Source organism: Homo sapiens, chromosome 17 (genome assembly GCF_000001405.40).
Source record: "Homo sapiens chromosome 17, GRCh38.p14 Primary Assembly".
In the NCBI taxonomy this organism is placed as follows: domain Eukaryota; kingdom Metazoa; phylum Chordata; class Mammalia; order Primates; family Hominidae; genus Homo; species Homo sapiens.
In genome coordinates this window covers 29245237-29265826 of record NC_000017.11, presented here as the reverse complement: position 1 = coordinate 29265826, position 20590 = coordinate 29245237, and the positions used below count along the sequence as shown (strand labels likewise).

Sequence of the window (20590 nt, the reverse complement as noted above, 5' to 3'; positions counted from 1 at the left end):
CTAGATTGATTCTTAGCTGAAGTGGACTTGAGTTTTTCTGATACTATTTTCAGGCCTTTAAAATTTTCCATTGGGTGACCAGTTGTATTGACTTGCCTTTTTTTTTTTTTTTTTTAAGCATGTATACTTGAAAAAGTTCTTAGGGAAGGTAGAAATTATATATGTGTGTGTATATATATAATATAATATATATAATAAAATAATATATAATAAAAACAGTTCCCTGGCCGGGCGCGGTGGCTCACGCCTGTAATCCCAGCACTTTGGGAGGCCGAGGCGGGCGGATCACGAGGTCAGGAGATCGAGACCATCCTGGCTAACACGGTGAAACCCCGTGTCTACTAAAAATACAAAAAATTAGCCGGGCGTGGTAGCGGGCGCCTGTAGTCCCAGCTACTCGGGAGGCTGAGGCAGGAGAATGGCGTGAACCCGGGAGGCGGAGCTTGCAGTGAGCCGAGATCGCGCCACTGCACTCCAGCCTGGGCGACAGAGCGAGACTCCGTCTCAAAAAAAAAAAAAAATAAAATAAAATAAAAAAATAAAAATAAAAACAGTTCCCCTCCAGAAGAGGGGAGCATGCAGCTTAAATAGTAAGAATTTAGAATAACCCTGGAGTCTTCTTCCAGACACATTCTAACAGTTTTATGTTTTGAATCTGAAAGATCCATAGTCTTTTGTTAGTGCTGAGAATAAAGGCTGGTGTTACTGTGGGAAGTTGAGTCAGTCTTGATTAGGACTGAATTGGCAGTTTTGCTAATTAATTTAACGTCAAGTTTTTGGTGGCAGGTTTTACTTAGATAGTTCCCACACTGGTTAAAATAAATTTTGACTTCATTTGCTGGGAACAGCAAAAGAAAAATCCAAGTGTTTCTTTTAATATTGGATTATTGGTGACAAGCTTTTTTCTTTGGCTGCTGTATTCAAATACACTGCTTTTGTAATCAGTAGAAGTACATAAAACCCTTAAGTGAACTCAACCATCTCTGATCTGCAGGAGTTGAGGCCCTCACTGGCTAGAGGACCCTGTACTTGGAATTCATTGGAATTCCAAATAGCTACTTCCAGGTTGAGAAACTGGATCATACATGTGTTGGTACAAGGAGGAAATGGGCTTGAAGTTTTGTTTTCATAAAAAAATTGGTCAGTTTAAATGATGGTTATTTGGGATTGTTATTGGAATACGGGCATTTTGAGATTCTAGACCTTATTTTTATTTATTTTTTTAACCTTTCTAGATCCCAAAAGGATAATCACTTACAATGAAGCCATGGATAGTCCAGATCAATGAAGGACCAGACTGCCTATTCGTAACCTTTCTGCAGCATTAGAGCCATCGTTCATGGGGGACACAAGGCTTTTATGCTCCTAGATCTTCAACGCAGCAGAGGAACCATAAGTAGAATCACAGGATAATATATACAAATATATATATATACATATATATATATATAGTTATTTAAAAAAGGCAACTGAAAGTAATTAGACTTCTTAAGGAATCAAATTTATTTCAAGAGACTACACATGGTTATTTAATCTCCGGTACTGAATAGGTTTTTTTTCTTCTGTTAGTTTTTGTTTTTAAGTGTGAATGCAAGTGATTAATGAATACAGACTTAACAAGTGTGGTTCTAAAGTTCCTGCTGTCATCAACTTGGGCAACAAATGACCCACTGGAAAGGCAAATCCACTTAAAAGATCTCTGTATCTTGTTCTGTGACTGAAGTGATACACTAATCACGGGGAACCCAGAATGATTCAACATTTTCCCCCCACTCCTCCCTTGATCTTTTTGGTTTTACTTTAATTAAGCCCTGCGAGAATGCTGGATAAATGCCTTGAAGTTAGCAGGGTGTATTTTTTTAGCGAATATGATTTGCATGTCTTGCCAGGAGTTAAGCGGCCTCTGGGGTGTTGGGGAAATACTTTATTTCTTTCCATTTATTTTTTGTGGGGCGGGGATAGGGGAGGGCATTGAAGTTCTACAATTCTGGAATAGTTAGTTGATGGTACATAGTTAACTTGGCTTCGGTTACATATTGGACTTTAACAACTGAAGAATCTATGCGTGTCATTTAAAGAAAAGTTGCAGAACAAGCAATTGGCTTAGATATACAATCTGGAAAAATATTCCTGTGCCCATATTTTAATGTAATTGTATAACTGGGAGCAAAAATATATTCTGCTTTTCAACTGTAGGTGCTCCAGACTTGCTCTCCGTCACTAACACTAAATGTGCTGTTTTCCTTGTTTTTCATCAAACATTTAAGACAAACTTAGACCTTTCTGTAAATTATCTTTTAATTTCTCAGCAAAATCTAAAAGGGGAAGAAAAAAGTCCATGAAAACTAAAACTTTTCATGTTTTTAGCCAGTGAGAAGATAATAAACCCTGACTGTAGAAGGTGTGTTTTCATGCAAACTATACTTCTGAGCTTGTTAGCTTCTAATTATATCTTAATAAATATATTTTATTACTAGAGCAAGATGGGTTTTTAAGGAAAATAATGTGAAATTCTGGAAATTTTCTTTGGGGCAGAGAAGAGCATTAGCCCTGTCTTATCATTACATTGCCATCCTGTTGCACTGCAGCTTGTGTATAGCATGCTAAAATAAATTTTTGTGTGTGTGTGCAGAAATTAAGGGTCCAATTGAGATTGGGTGATGTTAGTAACATAATAACAAGTTGTCTGGCCTGACACAGCATCACATCACACACACAGAAATTAGTATATCCATGTATGTCAAATACAGGTTAAAATATCAGGGCATTTATATAAAGAGTTGTAGTCTTCTGATAAAAGTAGACTGGATCCCCTGGGGTATTTGGGGAGAAAGTAACTACTTTGGCTCTACCCCTAGAAATGTCCAGTTTTGAGTGACTGTAGTATGGATGGGTTTTCTTGTTTTGTTGATTATTTGAGGCTTTTAAAACAAGTAGTTCATGAAAGAAGCTGTTGGACTCAACATAGAGTAGAGTAACTATCTTTTTAGTCTGGATTTCTGCCCTGCTTAGATTTTAAAAGTATAAGCATGGATTGCCAATTCCACTTGATGTAAACAAAACTTTTTTTTATACATAATATATATATATATATATAAAATAACTTATTGTATCAGTCCAGGTTCAGAAACTTGTGGTAGGCCAGTTCCAGATAGTTTCATTTCACCTGTAAACTGTATCACTTTGACTGATATTGTAATTTTCAAATGTATAATATGTTTACAGATGTGCCCTGCATTTAGTCTGCCTTGTTCCTATTTTGATTTTTGTTGAGTCTCCTGCCTGCTTGCCAAAAGCTAGGATGCTTCAGGCCCATGTACAATTGAAAGCAGAGGCATCCTTGAGCTTTAAAGCATTGAACAAACTGGAAAATGCAACATACCACATAACTGAAGTGAAAAAAGTCTGTGTTTTTGTGTTTTTTTAAATAAAAATTTTCAAAAAGTTAAAAAAAAAGACATATAAGGTTGATTAAAGGGAAAAAAGGCTCCAGTTTGTTTTACAGGTTTTAAAGTTCTGCTGTGTGTTCAATTGCCTTGTGTAACCACTTGTCGCCTTAGGGCCAGATTCCCCTCTCTAGTCCCCTTTTTTAAATGTCCATTTTGCTTGCCTGGAATTTTAAAGTTCTTCCGTCTCACAACTCACAAGAAACTTTCTGGGTTTGTGACATACAGAGGTTGAATTGAGTATATATTTGAAAAGGAAAAAACAAAAAACAAACCCAGACCCCACCTGAATTGGGCTTTTTAACTTAGAAGCAACACTTGATTAAACATCTTTAGAAAGCTATTGCTTTTCTAATTTCCTTCCATATCCCTCAGGCCTCAGTGTTCAGAGAAGCCAAAAAGAATGTATCACTTCTCTGTCTGTCCAAAGGTTTTTGAGAGTCTCACTTCTAAATGAAACAATGCAACATTTCACTTTGATTTCTCCACTGAAATTTCCTTGATTATATGGTTAGAGGTATGTAGTTAGGAATGTCTGTTAACTTTCTGAGAACCCTAGTGCCCCATCATATTAACTGTCAGTATTTTGGGGGCATTAGGTTAATAGACTTAATTGCCTAGGTACAAGCAGGACTTTGGGACAAATCTCTTTGTGCTGTTTGGTAACACTTAACTCTATTTGTTGCAATCTTTCTCCTTAGGTCCTCACACAATTCCTTACAGAGCACTTATTAAAAAAAAATCTTAAGAGTTGATCTGTTTTCTGATTATTTTGTGTAAGCTTCTAAACAAACTTCAGCTGTGATTAATTTAGCACATTTAAATAACGTGTTATTGTTTGGTATAAAGAATTTTCCTTCAACTCAGAGTATTAGTACTGTAGCATAAACCAAATACAGTCTAGAGGGGATTTTTAACATCCCTCCATTATAAAGACTGAAAAAGGGGTGTGTGTGTGTGTGTGTGTTTATGTATGTATGTATGTGTGTGTGAGGAAAAGATGGAGATATTAAAAATTAGTAAATGAATGTGTATAAGACATTAGTATTCAGAGAATGAACTTGTATTTATTTTGTGCCATTTGTTTTCATTACACAGAAAAAAGTCAGGTGGTTTAAATCCTTAAAAGGGTAGTATTGAAAAATGGCACTAAGAATGAAATTATGACCTATTTTTTTAATAGCTATGAAGATACTAATTATGGGTGAAGATTTCTTTTTAAATCTGTTTTGATTATTGTAGGCTTCTGTGTCACATACCACTCTTGTAGGTGTCCTCAATAATCCCCTTTTCCCACAAAATACACAGGGTGTATTATCTTTCTCTTTATTCACCCCCACTTTGCTGAACTGAAGTTAATTACATAGCCTTTCTTCTAACCTCCTTAGTAATGAACCTTCACATAAAGTGTATTTACAGCGTCTGTGGTAGCCAGCCCTTCCTCCTCTACTTTCTAGGAGGGGATAGCCAATAACTAGGAATTTAATGACAGATTTTTTTTTCTTTGAAATAAATGGCCAGAGTTTCTCCATTTTAGAATTTTGTTGTCCTCCTTAATCATCTGCTTACCTAGTCATTACTCAATCTGCAGAAACTTCATAAAGGAAAAGTGCTGCATTGTTTTTACAAATAACAGTTTGTAGGGAAAATATGACAAACCTCAACTATGGGAGTTGTCCACAATACAAAATTTTGAAAAAACATTACATAGTGATAATATCATACTTGGTTGTTAGGCTTGTTGCTTCCCCACATCAGAGGCATCTAATGATTTATCTTTTGTAATTGCTGTGAACTTTTTTAAATAAGCCATTTAGTGTGAAATTGTCATGTATCAAATGGCTATTGGAAATGGACTTTACTCAATTTTAATTCCACTGTAAATAAGGACGGAGTCATTCCTACAAGGCTCTCTTCAGAGAAATAGATTAAAAGTCCAATTTCCAGGTATTATTAGTATAGTTATGCCGCTGGGCCACATCCTCAACAACAGCTGATCCCTCTTGTATAAATATGTTAACTGTGCAGAACAGTTATGTTATGGGACAAATATAATGGTCATTATGGTCAGATTGGTTGATGCCACACCAGTCAAGGTAGAGTCTGATAGGGCAGTATCTTAATAACCCTACCCATGACTTAACTGTTGGATTTGAAAGGAAAACGTAGGATTTGCTCTTGTCCCCTTACCCGCCACAAAATTTTGATAATTTGTTTAAAAGGGAGAGGCAGAGGAAAAGACTAGAAGCATAAATAGCTGCTTTAGGTTTGCCAGAGGCACATAGCTTAACATTAGTTCTTAATATCGATGTTATTTTTACTAATGTAATTAATCAACAGAGCACCAAGATTCTTTCATGGTGAAAAGGGTGGGCTTCTGTTTTGGTATCTTAAAATGTTTCTTTTAAAATATACATCACCTGTGTGAGAACCAGGACCACCTGGGAGAGTGATGAATCATTGGCTCCACTCAAAAGCATTGCTTTACTGAGTTTTAAATTTCACACTGTTTTGCCGCTCAAGAAAGGTCTTAAAGTAGTTAAAGGATGCCAGCAATAGTGCGAATAGAATTTTCGGTTGTCTGCATAATAAAAACACCCATTGCAGCATGATTGGTATGTTGCTCTTGCATTATTGGGAATGGTAAATCAGTTATGGGCTAGAAACTATGGAATGGCCGTCCTCATATGTGATGGGATTGCTGATTCAGACTTCCCTATTTTCCATACAATTTTGTTATGTGCAGAGTTCTAAAGCCATTTTATAATACTGCAGTATCCCCCCCCCCCCCACCTTTTTTTTTTTGAGACGGACTGTCTGTTGCCCAGGCTGGAGTACAGTGGCGCAATCTTGGCTCACTGCAACCTCCACCTCCCTGGTTCAAGCAATTCCCCTGCCTCAGCCTCCCATGTAGCTGGGATTACGGGCGCACACCACCACACCTGGCTAATTTGTATTCTTAGTAGAGACGGGGTTTCACCATGTTGACCAGACTGGTCTCGAACTCCTGACCTCAGGCAATCTGCCCGCCTCAGCCTCCCAAAGTGCTGGAATTACAGGTGTGAGCCACCGTGCCCGGCCAAGTATCTCTTTTCTACAGCCTTATTAAACTAACTACAAACATTTATTTTCCAATTTAGTTTTACTTTCAGTGCATATCAAAGTTGTTGTACTCTTCAGACCAACAAATTAACTTGAGGGCAAATTACATAGCTTTCCATGTACCCTTTTTTCCTCAGGTGCTAATCAAAGGCTCTGAAAATGGATACTGCTTTAGTGATGTCTGCTTTATTCTTAAAATGCTTATTTCTTTTGCTAGATGTAAAGATTTGGTGTTAACAAAAGTGGTTTTAATATGTAAATATGAATGAATGCCTTTAGTTTACCCTGTTTGTCTATTATTAATCTGTTTTCATTTATCCTTCATAGAGGAGGATCCTTTCATGATCTTGAATACATTTCATTAGATATTGTTGCATTTTAAGAATGAAAATACAACTGTTTTCTGTCTTAGATTAATCCTGCTGCTATGAGAAACTGAAAATCAAGAATGTGATGCACTTTTTACATTACTATATACCATACATATACCATAGGTTGCTTTGATACCTTTCCTGTAGCACAGCCACTAACAAGAGTGAATGAATTATAAAATTCTTTTTGGGAGGGAATCAATACAAGTAACTAATTCTTAGCTGATATTGTCCTATGAAGGACAATAACTTAGGAATATAAGAATTCTGTTAATAGTACACTTTTTGGCCTTAAATGTCTTCTACTACTGAAAATAGTTTAAATCTTAGCTTTGTTTCTATTATTCCCTCTCTCTGCCTCAGAAAGAGGAATTGGGAAGAATGGCTTAAAGGACGTGGTGTCATTGATTTGTTGCTGATCTTTTAGAAAACATTTGTCTATGTAAGCTGGGGACTTATTTTTTGTTTGTATATAGAGGGGAAATAGTGCTGCCCTGAACCAATCAGATTTAGTTTAAATCAAATCAATCAAAACTCCAGCTGTTTCTCTTGTCTTTTTACTTAGCAAAGGAAAACTTTAGTGAATGCTACTTGACAAGAAGAAAAGTCATTTCTCAAGCACATACCCAAACTTGAAGGTGATTGAACCCAAAATAATGGGTGGGAAACACCAAATGAGGTGGAGGAATGAGAAAGATGTGTGGGCCAAAGCTATCTGGTTATATTTTGATGTTGCCAATATCGCAAAGCCAAAATTTTAATTTGCTTATTTAATATATTTGTTGGCCAGAGATCTATTTTTATATCAATGTGCCTTGCATGTATATTAAAAAAAAAAAATTGGAAACGCCATGTAGTAATGCCTGAGATAGTCGATGGTTCTTACCACCTCACTAATTTTTATGCAGTATGAAATGCTCATTCTATTGCCCAACTGGTGCTCTCTGTTTAAAGTTACAGATCTTGCGAAACTGGAACTATTTTATAAGCTGGGGAAGTGATTTACTTTTTTTGTTGTATCTTTTTTGTTCTTAGTCTGTTAGTGGCTGTCCTGTAGTGGGAAATAGTAAAAGGATTCTTCACTCCCTTCTCCCCTCAGCACCTTCTTCAAGTAAACATTTCTTGTGTGCTTTGAAAAAAGTTTCAGCTTGCTGTCTCTTTTAGTGTTTTAAAGAAGTGTTATACAAAGCATTGTTTGCAAAATATAGGGAGATAATGGAGTCCACTTTAATTTGGAATTCTGTGTGAGCTATGATCCAAGTTATCAGCTCTTTCCAACTTTAAAAATTTTGTTAAAAGCACCTTGCTTAGAAAATTTTAAATATTTATGTCTGCAACAATTGTCTCAAAATAATAAACTGTGCAATTCTTGTCATTAAAAAAAAAAAAGATCTGAATTTTCCCTAATGTGACTTGTTAGTTTCTCTCTGTATTTCCTGCCAGTGTAAATGTGAAAGCTTTGCTTGCATTACGTTTTAGAAATGCATTTTGCACACTCGAATTTTGCCGAAGCTCCGTGAAAAGGTTAGATCTAAGTAGATGAATAAAGCTATGCACATGTTTTGAAAGTTTAATTTGTGTGTCATTACCAAAAGTGACCGATTTGTCCTTACTACTTTGCTGTTGTTAGCTTTACCATCTTTGGAAACTTGGCTCAAAGTTACATAGTTCTGGGCTAGCTCATCAGTGGAACTAGGAGAGAGGAAAACTGGCACCTATTTTAATAAAGTTCAATTTAAACGAGAGCTTGACTTGTATCTATTAAAGAGCTTTTCTTGAAACAGGGCAGTTTTATCAGCTTTACAAATCATTGGATGCTCTTCCTTAGTAATATTTTGGTTTATTTGATCAAATAGAAATGGAAAGTAATTCAAACTGAAAGACCCTTTTTTGTCATATGGAACTTGGTGACGATTTTTTGTCTTAAAGCTGGTTTAAAGGTAGGATAGGCTTTTACCTTTATTGCTTTAGCATAAATTTGGTTTACTGAATTGACTGGCTTGAGATTAGAATTATTCAGTTGTTTGTAAGATCAAAGCACTGGTTGTTTTAAAGATAACGTGTATCTTTTAAAAAATTGCCCAAGCTGATTAGAACAAGTTTAGGAGTTGGGTACATTTGGTTCAAGTGCTGCAATCTGTATGTACTAAATAGCTTTACTTTGTGTATGTGTACTTATAATGTGTAGATGTACTACTACCCAGGTTTTGTCAAATCATCTTTTTTAAAGTTTTTTTTTTTTTAATTGGTTCAGGACCTTTGTAGGAGAGGCTAATATGTTTAAGTAGAAGATATTACTGATAGCATTTTCCCCATGCTCCTACATAAAAAATAAATATTTCCATTTTATAGCTTTTTCAATATACAGAAGAGGGTTACTTCTTCATCAAGTATATTGTTGCCTTTGAGGACACAGCAAAACCCTTCTATATGTATCTTCATTGATAGTGGCAGTTAAAAACTAAGTTATCCAGTTAAGACTTAAAAGGTGACCCATATTAATTGCATGGCCTTAAAAGGCAGAAATGCAGGAGTGTAGCAAGCATCATTTTAGATGGCTATGGTTCCTCTTCCGCATCTGTCAGTAGTTCACTTATGTTCAGTCTTAGAACCTACTGGAGGAGTGAAGTAATTTCTCTGTCTCGTGCAGAGGCACTAAGGAGCTGAGTTACCTCTTAATCTGGGGGAATGGATAATAAGTGGAGTACAGTTATGTTAAAGGATGTTCCCCCCGCTCAAAAAAAAGTTTCAATGTTTGTTTTGCCCAGTCAAAAATATAGGTCTTTTCTACATATAAGAACAGTCACCAGAAATTTTCCCTTTTGCTAAATGCTTAGGTATTTGCTATAGCTGTTTCTGATGTCATGGATTCTGAGGAAGTGTCATTTACGTGATGATCTTCCTTTATTGATGTCTTCATCATGTTCAGTGTTTTAAAAATATAAATTACAAACACTCTACAACCATACCCAGATTTACTTATTTTATCAGAAAAAAAACTTGAGAAATTTGTAGATCAAATTGAGAGACAATAAGTGTACATTGTTGAATAAAAAATTTTAAAGTTTCTGAGGTGTTTGTTATCTTTTGTGTGCTTTAATTTTTTAAAAAGTCTTTACTGACTAATCTTAAATTCAGCTGATAAAAAGTAAAAAGAAAAACAAACCGAAAACTAAGTTTGTGACATTGATAATGATTTTTTTCCAAAGGGTCAAATATGTGAAGAATTTAAGTCTTCAGTATACTATGGTCCTATGATTTTAAAAAAATTTTTTAATCATACAGGTTTTTACAGTGCTTAGAATTAGCTTGCTTATTGAAAAATCCAGAGCTATCCTGCCTTTTTGCAGGACATTAAGCCTTATGCCCTTCCAATTGAAATAAATCAAAATTGAGCTAAGCAGTTGAGCAACTAGAATGTTAAGTTGCCAAGATTCTGGATTTATTCATAACTTTATGTTGAAATATGTGGCAGTACACACTGGAGAAACTTCCTGTTTCTTTAGTACTGATTTGTCACAAGGTGAAAGGAAAATCAATGCCAACTTCAACATTATTAGAAAGAGCAGGAGACGGGAGGAAAGGACATAAAAACATTTACCAAAAGTGTCAGTCGCTATAGAGATTGATAACATTTAGGTCATATGCTTTATTGTTCTTTGAGATAAGGAATAATTGTCCTTGGCCTGGTGAGTGACTTGCAAGGACACAAAAGAGAATGTGGAGTTTTATGGAAGCTTGACTTAAAAAATTCTCATCCAGACAGGCGCAGTGGCTCAACACCTGTAATCCCAGCACTTTGGGAAGCCACAGTGGGTGGATCACTTGAGCCCAAGAATTCGAGACCAGCCTGGGCAACATAGTGAGACCTCATCTCTACAAAAAGTACAAAAATTAGCCAGGCATAGTGGCAGGCACCTGTAGTCCCAACTACTCAGGAGGCTGAGGCAGGATCACTTGAGCCCAGGAGAATGACGCTGCAGTAAGCCAGATCGCACCACTGCACTTCAGCCTGGGTGACAGTGAGACCCTGTCTCAACAACAACAAAAATTCTCATCCACAGGCCGGGCGTGGTGGCTCACGCCGGTAATCCCGCACTTCGGGAGGCCGAGGCGGGCAGATCACCTAAGGTCGGGAGTTCGAGACCAGCCTGACCAACATGGAGAAACCCCGTCTCTACTAAAAATACAAAATTAGCCAGGTGTGGTGGTGCATGCCTGTAATCCCAGCTACTCGGGAGGCTGAGGCAGAGAATCACTTGAACCCGGGAGGCGAAGGTTGTGGTGAACCAAGATAGCGCCATTACACTCCAGCCTGAGCAACAAGAGCAAAATAACTAAAAAAAAAAAAAAAATTCTCATCCACTTAGGTGTGATTTATGTGAAGCATGGTAGTTAATTCAGTCTACAAAGTTTTTTTTTTTTAAATGACGTTTATTGTGGATTTCAGCAGCTAACATTTGAAAGCAATGTCTGTGAGCAGAACATAAAACTTATTCTAGAGTGCTTAGCAAGGTCTCATGCTTGAGGAATTATCGTACTTGGAGCTTTTAATCAGCTACTGTTGGATTCGGCGAATCGATTGGATCTGCGAAGTCTGGGCATGAGAGCCCCACTCTCTCCAATGTTTATAGTCTCCTCCATGATGGTCACATTCCAAGATATACTGATACCCACGATATCCAGGATATTGGTAGCAAACCCAGCTAGGAAATTCAAAGTACATTTCATTATTAAAACTAATTAGGAATCTGGTTAATACCCCAAAACCTGAGCCTCTTTACTCAACACAATGGTATGAGATGCTTTTAGGCTTAGAAAAAATAGCCATCCTAAATGTGTCAGGCACTATTTGTAAGCATAATATGGCTATAGCTAGTTAATTAGCCTTAATCATCAAAACAGGTATAAGTAGTCAACGTAAATTCTTCCATAGAGGCATGTCTGGGGGAGATAAATCTGCAACCTAAAGTGGTAGTTGGTATAAAGAAATTGAGATTCAAAATTATGTAGAACTAGAATGTGACATCTATACCGATACGTATGAAATCTGATTAAAACATAACTATTGATGCAACCTCAGGAGTTACTTTGAAGTATATTCCAACCCTGTTTTTGTACTTACGCCCCACTTTGTATCTTCATGGAGCCGACTTCGTTGTTGAACCAGCCCATGGCTTGCAAGGAGGGGTAGTCGTCAGAGATCTCCCACTGGCGTCCAATAAAGTTTTCCTTCTCAAAGATGGTCATCTTAGACTCCTTATGATTCTGTAATTCAGAAATTGTTTTAAAATGTTTAGTACTAGTGCTATGGCTATCATTCTTCATGTTTTTCAAAATTGAAACACTTTTGGATTATACAAGGAAGCACATGATAATTTAAAAAGATTAAGGCAACAGATTTGTGAGAAAAAAGTTACCCATAATTTTGTTTATTCCAATTTAAATACCATAACATTTTGAATGTACAAATAACTGATATACTATTTTGGAACAATGAAGAGGATTTGACAGTGAGAAAAAGTACTAACAAAATGCAGCCAACCAAGGGATTAATATTCACTAATGTGAAAAAAGATCTCACAGATTATTACAAAAAGTAAGCCCAAATATGTATGTGTGCGCTTGCGTGTGTATGTGTGTTGTTGGATATAACCTGTATGTCCAGTAGGGGACATGAATACTACACAAGCATTAAAAAGACAGAGACTAACCTGTATGAACTTCAAAAATGGACAAAACTGTTTGGTAATAGAAAGTGGTAGGGGAGCAATTGAGTGGAAAGGGACACCAGGGAACTATGATGGAATGTTCTTTATATGGTTAGGGTGTTGGTTACATGGATCTATATATTTTTCAAAAACTCATGAGAATATTCACTTAGGGTCTGTGCATTTTACTGTATGTCAGTTATACCTTAGGGTGGGCAAATGAAATGTTTTTAAAAGTGAGATTGAAATAATTTCCAGACAGGCAACTATTTATTTGGATTAGAACTATTTAGGTTAACTTCTCCACCAGTTGAATTTTGGCAAGACTTTGAACCAAGATGAGATTATTAACCAAAATCACGAGAAACTCTCACATAGACTGAATATTTGGAAAGGTTCTAGCCCAACCTAACTCCTAATACAGGGATCATTTTCAACACACCCCTTAAGGTCATTCTGCTTTCTGCTTGAACTGTTTCCAAAGACCAGAAACATCCCAGCCTGATGCATTATTGAGTAATACTTAAGTGTTCAGAACAAGAAGATTATTATCAATCAGTGTAGATCGATACTGGAAGACTTGCCTATTTCGTCAGTCATTCCCACTTACTGAAAGGTTACTTCAGCATTTTCCTGTTTCTGCAGTAAAAATGTTACACAGATTGAAATTTAACTGGCCAAGGATTTACTTTTTGCTGCAGGGTAAGCACTTTCACTCATTTACTAGTGTTTCACAAGTTTACTGGGCTCTTGAGTATCCACTTATTGCCACTTGTAAGACCCTTAGTTTTAGCTTAAGGGAAGTACCACCTGGTGGAGAAAAATCAAATAGCAGGCTTAGAGAAGAAAGTGATGTTTTCTCTTTTTTTACTTTTGTCTTTTTTCCTGCCACATTCAGCATAACTGATGATAAATAGCATGAACGTCAGTCTGTCCACACCCTCTTGTCCCATCCCTCATATGCACGGAAGTGGAAATTTCAGAGACTCACAGCTGAACAGATGGGGCGGAAGGACATGAGACGCTCAATGTGGTAGGCATTACTCCCACTCCAGGCATCCCAGCGAGGGTATTCTCCTCTCTCCAGGATAAACTGTTGCCCACAGAAGCTGGTATGCTCATAACCAATCCAGCTGCCAAAGACATGTAGTGTTTGTTCATGGTGTTCAAAGCCTATATGGCCTTGGGGAGAAGGCATCTTTCGTTTTAGATAAGTCAATAGTGGGGTAAAATATCAAGCCAATCCCAGTAGAGCTGTACAAAGTAATTTGTCACAAGAGTTGAGGAATGAGTTGACAGGTATACTAAGCAGGTTAGTGAATGTAATATTTGTTTGGGGGTTATCACTGAAAAGGTCTATCTACTTCACTGGTCTGAGTGAAGTGTATTAGCAAAGCCAATCTAAAATTATATTTCCTGGCTGGGTGTGGTGTCTCACGCCTGTAGTTCCAACGCTTCAGGAGGCCAAGGCAAGCAGATCGCTTGAGCCCATGAGTTGGAGACCAGCCTGGGAAACATGGCGAAACCCCGTCTACAAAACTCAAAAATTAGCCAGGCGTGGTGACCCACTACTGGCAGTCCCAGCTATTCAGGGGGCTGAGGGTTGAGCCTTGGAGGTGGAGGCTGCAGTGAGCCATGATTGTGCCACTGCACTCCAGCCTGGGCAACAGAGTGACACCTTGCCTCAAAAAAAAAAAAAATTTTTTTTTCTTTTTCTCCAAATCACCTATTCTCTACCTGTTTCAGGATCTAGTGACTGTTGCAAGCTTGTCCAACCTGTTGCCCAAGGGCTGCATGCAGCTCAGGACAGCTTTGAACGCAGCCCAACACAAATTTGTAAACTTCCTCAAAACATTATGAGTTGTTTTTGTTGTTGTTAGGTCATCAGCTATCGTTATGGTATTTTATATGTGGCCCAAGACAATTCTTTCAGTGTGGCCTAGGGAAGCCAAAAAGATTAGACACCCCTGGACTATTGCTTTGGCTCAAGCCAAACCTGTTGGCTTCTTCTTAAGAAAGCACAGGGATGAACAAGCAACTGATGGATTACTAGTCTTTTTTCTTCCTGTGACTTGCGAGTTCTTTCTCCTAGTGCCCCATACCTGTACTTAAAACTTGAAACACTCAGCTCAGTTTTTCACAACTGGGTCTCAGTTAGTGATGACACCTTAAAGTGTTACATCTTTTAAAGGACTGAAGAGCTTAATTTTGGTGGCAAGCAACTTGTGGAAGCCTATCCACATGCAAGGCCAATTCTGCCTAGTCAAGGGTGAGTCTTTTCCTTAGGTATTTTCAGGCTAATGATAAAGGCCTCAACTACTCTGCCAAGAGTCAGAGGACAAAAATGAGAGGGTCTCCCTCACCAAGATTAACCATCAACAAGAAACTGCCTGAAAGATGAATCAGGAGCTAATATGTCTCTGGAGTCGTGGGGTTAAGGTTTTTTTTTTCATAAAGAAATTAGCTAACAGTGTCTGCTCTGGGATATGCAGGAGGAGAGTTAGCCATGAAGAGGCAGCCACTTGACACTTTCTTCTCTACCAATTTTCTGCAGGCAAGAAAAACTCAAGGGTCTTGTGGCTGTTCTGAGGGCACCCTAGGTAGCAGCCTGTGAGCTCCAGAAGCAAAATTTTGATTACTGCCACTGTCCCACCCCATTGTATGTATTTCTTTATCCAGCCCCTGAAATCTAGTACCAAGCCACTAAGAACCTCATGTTCCTTCCTTCTAGCTTTGGCTTACTAAATTATGCATGTAGTGATTTCTTTCGAGGCCTGTCTCCGAGAAATGACTAGAGCCTAGGGGAACATCCTTCTTCCCCTATCCCCACTCTATGGTCCCCTGTCTGAAGGGACCTGAAATAAGGGGCTGCGGTTCTGCGGAAGTCCATACTCACGCGCCACTTTCCACCTTCAGGGACCGGACATTATCAAAACTGCGCTCAGAGACATTTGGACAGGAGCTGGTGAACTCCATCCTCTTGCCCTGAAAGTTCTCCTGATCATAGATGGTTATCTGAAATGAGATTGAATGGCGCAAGAGAGCTAGAACATCAGGAAAAACAGAGGTCCAGGTCAACAGCTTAACTTCAGTCTGACTCTGTGCTTTCTGTTACCAGCTGTAGCCTGGGATGCCTGATGAGGTCTCTTCCAGTGTAGACAGGGCAGGAAGGGGTTTGAATTAATGCCACTGGTTGGTGTTCATTTGCCCAGAGTAGGGATGAGGTGGAGGGAGGATTGGTTTATGATAGAAATGGTCTGCCAGGGATAATATCTAGACCAATGGACAGGCCAAGGACTTATGGGCTCCCATTCCACCACAGTTCCTTCATAAGCATGGCCCAGAGGCCAGGATTCTGGGAGTCCCAGGAGCTCCTTATAGATTCTTAGCTTCTCCAGCCATACCCCCTATAGAAACCTAGAGTGTAAAGGAGAGTTATGGTCAACCCTTTTTGTACATTGAACTAAAACCTGGCTCGTGGACCTGGCCAGAGGACCACTCGCAAAGCTGTGAGCTGGCCTCAGAGTTGACCCAATGAGGAGAGTGGGGAGTGTTGGAGAGAGGCCAGTGAGAGGCCTGAGGATCAGCCACTTCGGCCAATGGTTAAAGCCAACCTCAGGATGGGAGGCTGAGTCCTGTAATTTATTTGGGATCTAGTAGTAAATATCTTTATGGGCCCTCATTTTCTCCATGGACATAACTGTTGCTGGGCTGCTGTATTTTAAGATGACTTTAGTGGGGAGGAGAGAGGAGTTAGGAAACTAGGTATCATCTCCCACCCATCAATGGCATCCACAGTCATCCTTCCTTTGTCCAGTGGGACATCCTGAGAGATCCTTCCTTCGACAGCACTGGAGCTTGTGTGGACCTTTCCCCTACAAACTGGGGTTTTTCTGGTCAGTCACTGCCTTATGGACGAGCACAGGCCTGGGGCCTGCTCTGTGCAGCATGTCACCCCTGCCCTGTTGGATGTGATGGGGGTGGGCTTACCTTCCATGGCCCCAGGGACCCCGGCGTAGGGTTGGTCTGAGCCATCTTGGTGGTTGGAAGGGTTTCTGGAAGACAGAGCACACACGAATGATGTGGCCTCTTGGGAGGAGGGGGAGGTGAGGGAATGCCTTGAAAGGTAAAGGAGACTTGAAGTCTGCAAGACAGACTTTGGTTGAAATTCTGGCTCTGCTGCTCACTAGCTGTGCCTCGGGGTTTGTTGTTGTTGTTGTTGCTATTTTGAGACAGGGTCTTTCTCTGTCATCCAGGCTGGAGTGCAGTGGCACAATCTCACTTCACTGCAACCTCTGCCTCCTGGGCTCAAGTGATCCTTCCGCCTCAGCCTCCCATGTAGCTGGGACTACAGGCATGCACCACTATGTCCAGCTAGTTTTTGTATTTTTAGTAGAGATGGGGGTTTCACCATGTTGGCCAGGCTGGTCCCAAACTCCTGACCTCAAGTGATCCACCGCGCCCAGCCTGAGCCTCAGTTTTTCCATTGGTAAAGCTTCGACATGCAGTTATTGTAAGGATCAGAAATAATAGGCCGGGCACGGTGGTTCACGCCTGTAATCCCAGCACTTTGGGAGGCCAAAGCGGGCGGATCACCTGAGGTCGGGAGTTTGAGACCAGCCTGGCCAACGTGGTGAAACCCCGTCTCTACTAAAAATACAAAAATTAGCCGGGTATGATGGCACACGCCTGTAGTCCCAGCTACTCGGGAGGCTGAGGCAGGAGAATCGCTTGAACCCGGGAGGCAGAGGTTGCAGTGAGCTGAGATCGTGCCACTGCACTCCAGCTTGGGCAACAGAGTGAGACTCCATCTCAAAAAAAAAAAAAAGAAAAAAAACAAGGATCAGAAACAATAATGCAGGTAAAGCACTGAGACCCTGTCCTCTCACTTGCTTTCAGGTGACAGCATTACCTCTGTCTGCAATATAAACTCTTTGGCAACCACCTAGGCCAGACCCCTCATGTGACTGGCCAAACAGCCAGCCATGCCAGGATCCCAAGCCCCAGACTCCCTCGTAACCCTTCACGGTCTCATCCTTATCTGGCCTCTTTCTGCTTTTCTTTTTCTTTTTTTTTTTTTGAGATAGAGTTTCACTCTTGTTGCCCAGGCTGGAGTGCAATGGCGCAATCTCGGCTCACCGCAACCTCCGCCTCCCAGGTTCAAGCGATTCTCCTGTCTCAGCCTCCCTAGTAGCTGGGATTACAGGCATGTGCCACCACGCCCGGCTAATTTTGTATTTTTAGTAGAGACGGGGTTTCTCCCTGTTGGTCAGGCTGGTCTTGAACTCCCGACCTCAGGTGATCTGCCCGCCTTGGCCTCCCAAAGTGCTGCGATTACAGGCATGAGCCACGGCGCCTGGCCATTCCTTTCTGCTTTTCTATCTCCTAGATCCTACCCAGCCTTGACCTTGCCTTCTCAGAGGCTTTCCTGCCTTCTCCAGCCCACAGCCACTTGCTTGCTTTCTTGATTTATAGCACTCATCACAGTACCAATCTGTGTTCTGGTTGGATGTCCTGGTGAGCACCTCAATGGCAAGGCCTCGGTCTTCTAGGGGATTGGTATAGCATCGTGCTGAGCACATGTGGAGATGAGGGATCAGGGGGACATTGAAAAAGACTTATTGAAGGAAAGTGAAGAAGAAAAGAGTTATAATACTTACACTCAAAAATGGCTATCTACATGTCCGGCCCTGTTTTAAATGCTTTACATGCATTCATGCATTTAATCTTCACATACAGACTATGAATTAAGAATTATCATTATCCCCATTTTACAGATGAGGATACTGAGGCTCAAAGAGGTTAGGTAGACAGTGAAGATGGTAGGACGAGTTTTAAAAAAGGAAGGACAGAGCAAGAAAGAGGAAGGAAAAGTGGGGGAGGAAGGGAAGAAGGAAGACAGGCAGGTGTGTATTAGGTTTCTTAGGACAGATATTCATGGCCCTCCTCCTGGCTGGTATTGGGCCCAGGAATGATGCATGTCAACTCTGTAATATATTTTTCCATTCTGAATCTCTGAATAAGCAACATTTCCCAGGTCCTGCTCCCATACCTTCTCCCTGCTCGTTTCTTGGGGGCCCATGCCCATCCCCCAGCCTTAGTTGCTAGGGCAGTGGTTATTGCTATATAAGTGACTCCTCTTGGGGTGACAAGAGAAGGCTGTCTTCCGCCAGAGTTCCCCACTCTTCTCCAGCCACCCTAGAAGGCTCTACACACTAGGCAGGAGAACTGGGCCCTCTCCTGGGCATGTCTCTGCAGGGCAAGGAGAGGAAGGGCAAGGGCACCCTGAGGGCCTTACTCACCCAGCTCCTGCTGCTCAGCCTGGGTCTCCATCTGGTACCACTTGCTCTGTGGCCCTCCTCTTTATAGCCCTGCGGCCTCTGGCCTCTGGCCCTGTCAGCACTCTGCTCTCCCTCTGCCTTTGTTCCTCATGATCCCCAGAGCTTTGGTGGCTCAGCTTGCTGGGGCCTTTGTTTAAACCAGGGATACAGAAATCCAGAGAGGCCCCTCTGTTGTGGGCATGGCTGGCTGCTGCAGGCCTTGGCTTTCTTAATCTCTCAGAGCAGCTAGGGGGTGAGGACAGAAGTCTCTGCCATGAGTACTTGTCTCTTGTCCTTCTCCAGGTTCCTCACACCACCTTGGGATCTTCCTAAGACCTTAAGACCCTGGGAGACCCCATGTCATATCAAACACATCAAAATGCACCTCACTTCCATACAGATGTGCATTTCTTGTTGTTTAAAAATGTGAAAGAATTATTGTAATTCTGAACTCAATATGAGAAAAAATGGTTCATTGTATTCTTGGGAATCTTTATTATGCTGTATTTATATATAACTATGTAAGGGTTGACTTCAATTATAGTTGACTAGCAGACATGTGTCTCTCTGTAGCTATTTTATTAAATATTCCTTTTAATTTTGCAATTTTCTTTAAAAATTTTGGAGCTATAACTTTTGGGTTTTTTAAAAAAGAATTAAACCATTTATTGAATAATTCCTATATATTAGACATGTGCTAAATGCTTTACTTAAAAAGTTTGAATTAAATACTTTTCCACAACAAAAGAAAGAAATACTTTTTCACAGCCACCACAACAGTGCTATTTTCACCTCCATTTTCCAGATTAAGAAACTAAGAGAACAATCAGGTGACTTGCCTAAGGTCACAGTATTTATAATGGCAGAGCCAAGACTCGAATCCAGTTCTAACCAACACCAAAGTCACTGCCCTGCACTGGCCCTCCCTCAGGAGTAATGCATAAATGGCCCAAAAAATTCCAGGAGAGGAAAGAGACCCCCCTGGCTAGAACTGCAGTTCTGAATATAAACACTGAGCATATAATGGATGTAACTTATCTGTTTCAAAAGGGGAAGGAGCCTAGAAATGAAGCAATTTTTCCTCCTCAAATGATCTTGGCTGCCTGTCCCTTTGTCTTCCATGTTAATTCCTTTCACCATTCTGCTCCCAAACAGGCCAGGTCCCACATCAGTTCCAGGAGGAAAGGGCTCTTTCAGCCTGCGGGTCATCGTTGGGCAGCAGTAGGAAGGGGAAGAAGGCAACCTTCTGAATACCTCCTTTGGACTCACCATCTAGATGTAAAGGGTTCACCTGCTCCATCTCAGATTCCCGGGGGCCTTCCTGTGAAGTTGTCTAGGCAAGCGGTGATAGGGACCTAGATGTCCTTGCTTCTCCCCTCTAGCTCACCCAGGCCAGGGGCGAGAATTCCTGCCACCCACACCTTCAAAACCAATTTTTTTTTTCTTTTTGAGACAGAGTGTCGCTCTGTTGCTTAGGCTGGAGTGCAGTGGTGCGATCTTGCCTCACTGCAACCTCTGCCCCCCAGGTTCAGGTGATTCTCCTGCCTCAGTCTCCTGAGTAGCTGGGATTACAGACACCTGCCACCATGCCCGGCTAATTTTTTTGTATTTTTAGTAGAGATAGGGTTTCACCATGTTGG

The 20590-nt window shown here is 40.3% G+C and overlaps 2 protein-coding genes across 3 annotated transcripts in view; one reads left to right on the top strand and one right to left on the bottom strand.

Moving 5' to 3' along the window:
- NUFIP2 (nuclear FMR1 interacting protein 2) overlaps positions 1 to 9988 on the top strand; it is a 38310-nt gene extending 28322 nt beyond the window's left edge. For both annotated transcript variants that reach the window (NM_020772.3, XM_017024896.3), the window contains exon 4: positions 1236 to 9988. In NM_020772.3, coding sequence (NP_065823.1) covers positions 1236 to 1288 — 53 coding nt within the window. In that variant the 3' untranslated portion in view covers positions 1289 to 9988. The remainder of the gene's footprint in view (positions 1 to 1235) is intronic.
- Positions 11333 to 18968, bottom strand: CRYBA1 (crystallin beta A1). The gene is made up of 6 exons (NM_005208.5): positions 18933 to 18968; positions 16621 to 16685; positions 15527 to 15645; positions 13622 to 13763; positions 12045 to 12187; positions 11333 to 11625 (listed from the first exon to the last, which is right to left on the bottom strand). Exons 1-6 carry the CDS (start codon positions 18961 to 18963, stop codon positions 11478 to 11480), a joined length of 648 nt encoding a protein of 215 aa, NP_005199.2. The 5' UTR covers positions 18964 to 18968; the 3' UTR covers positions 11333 to 11477.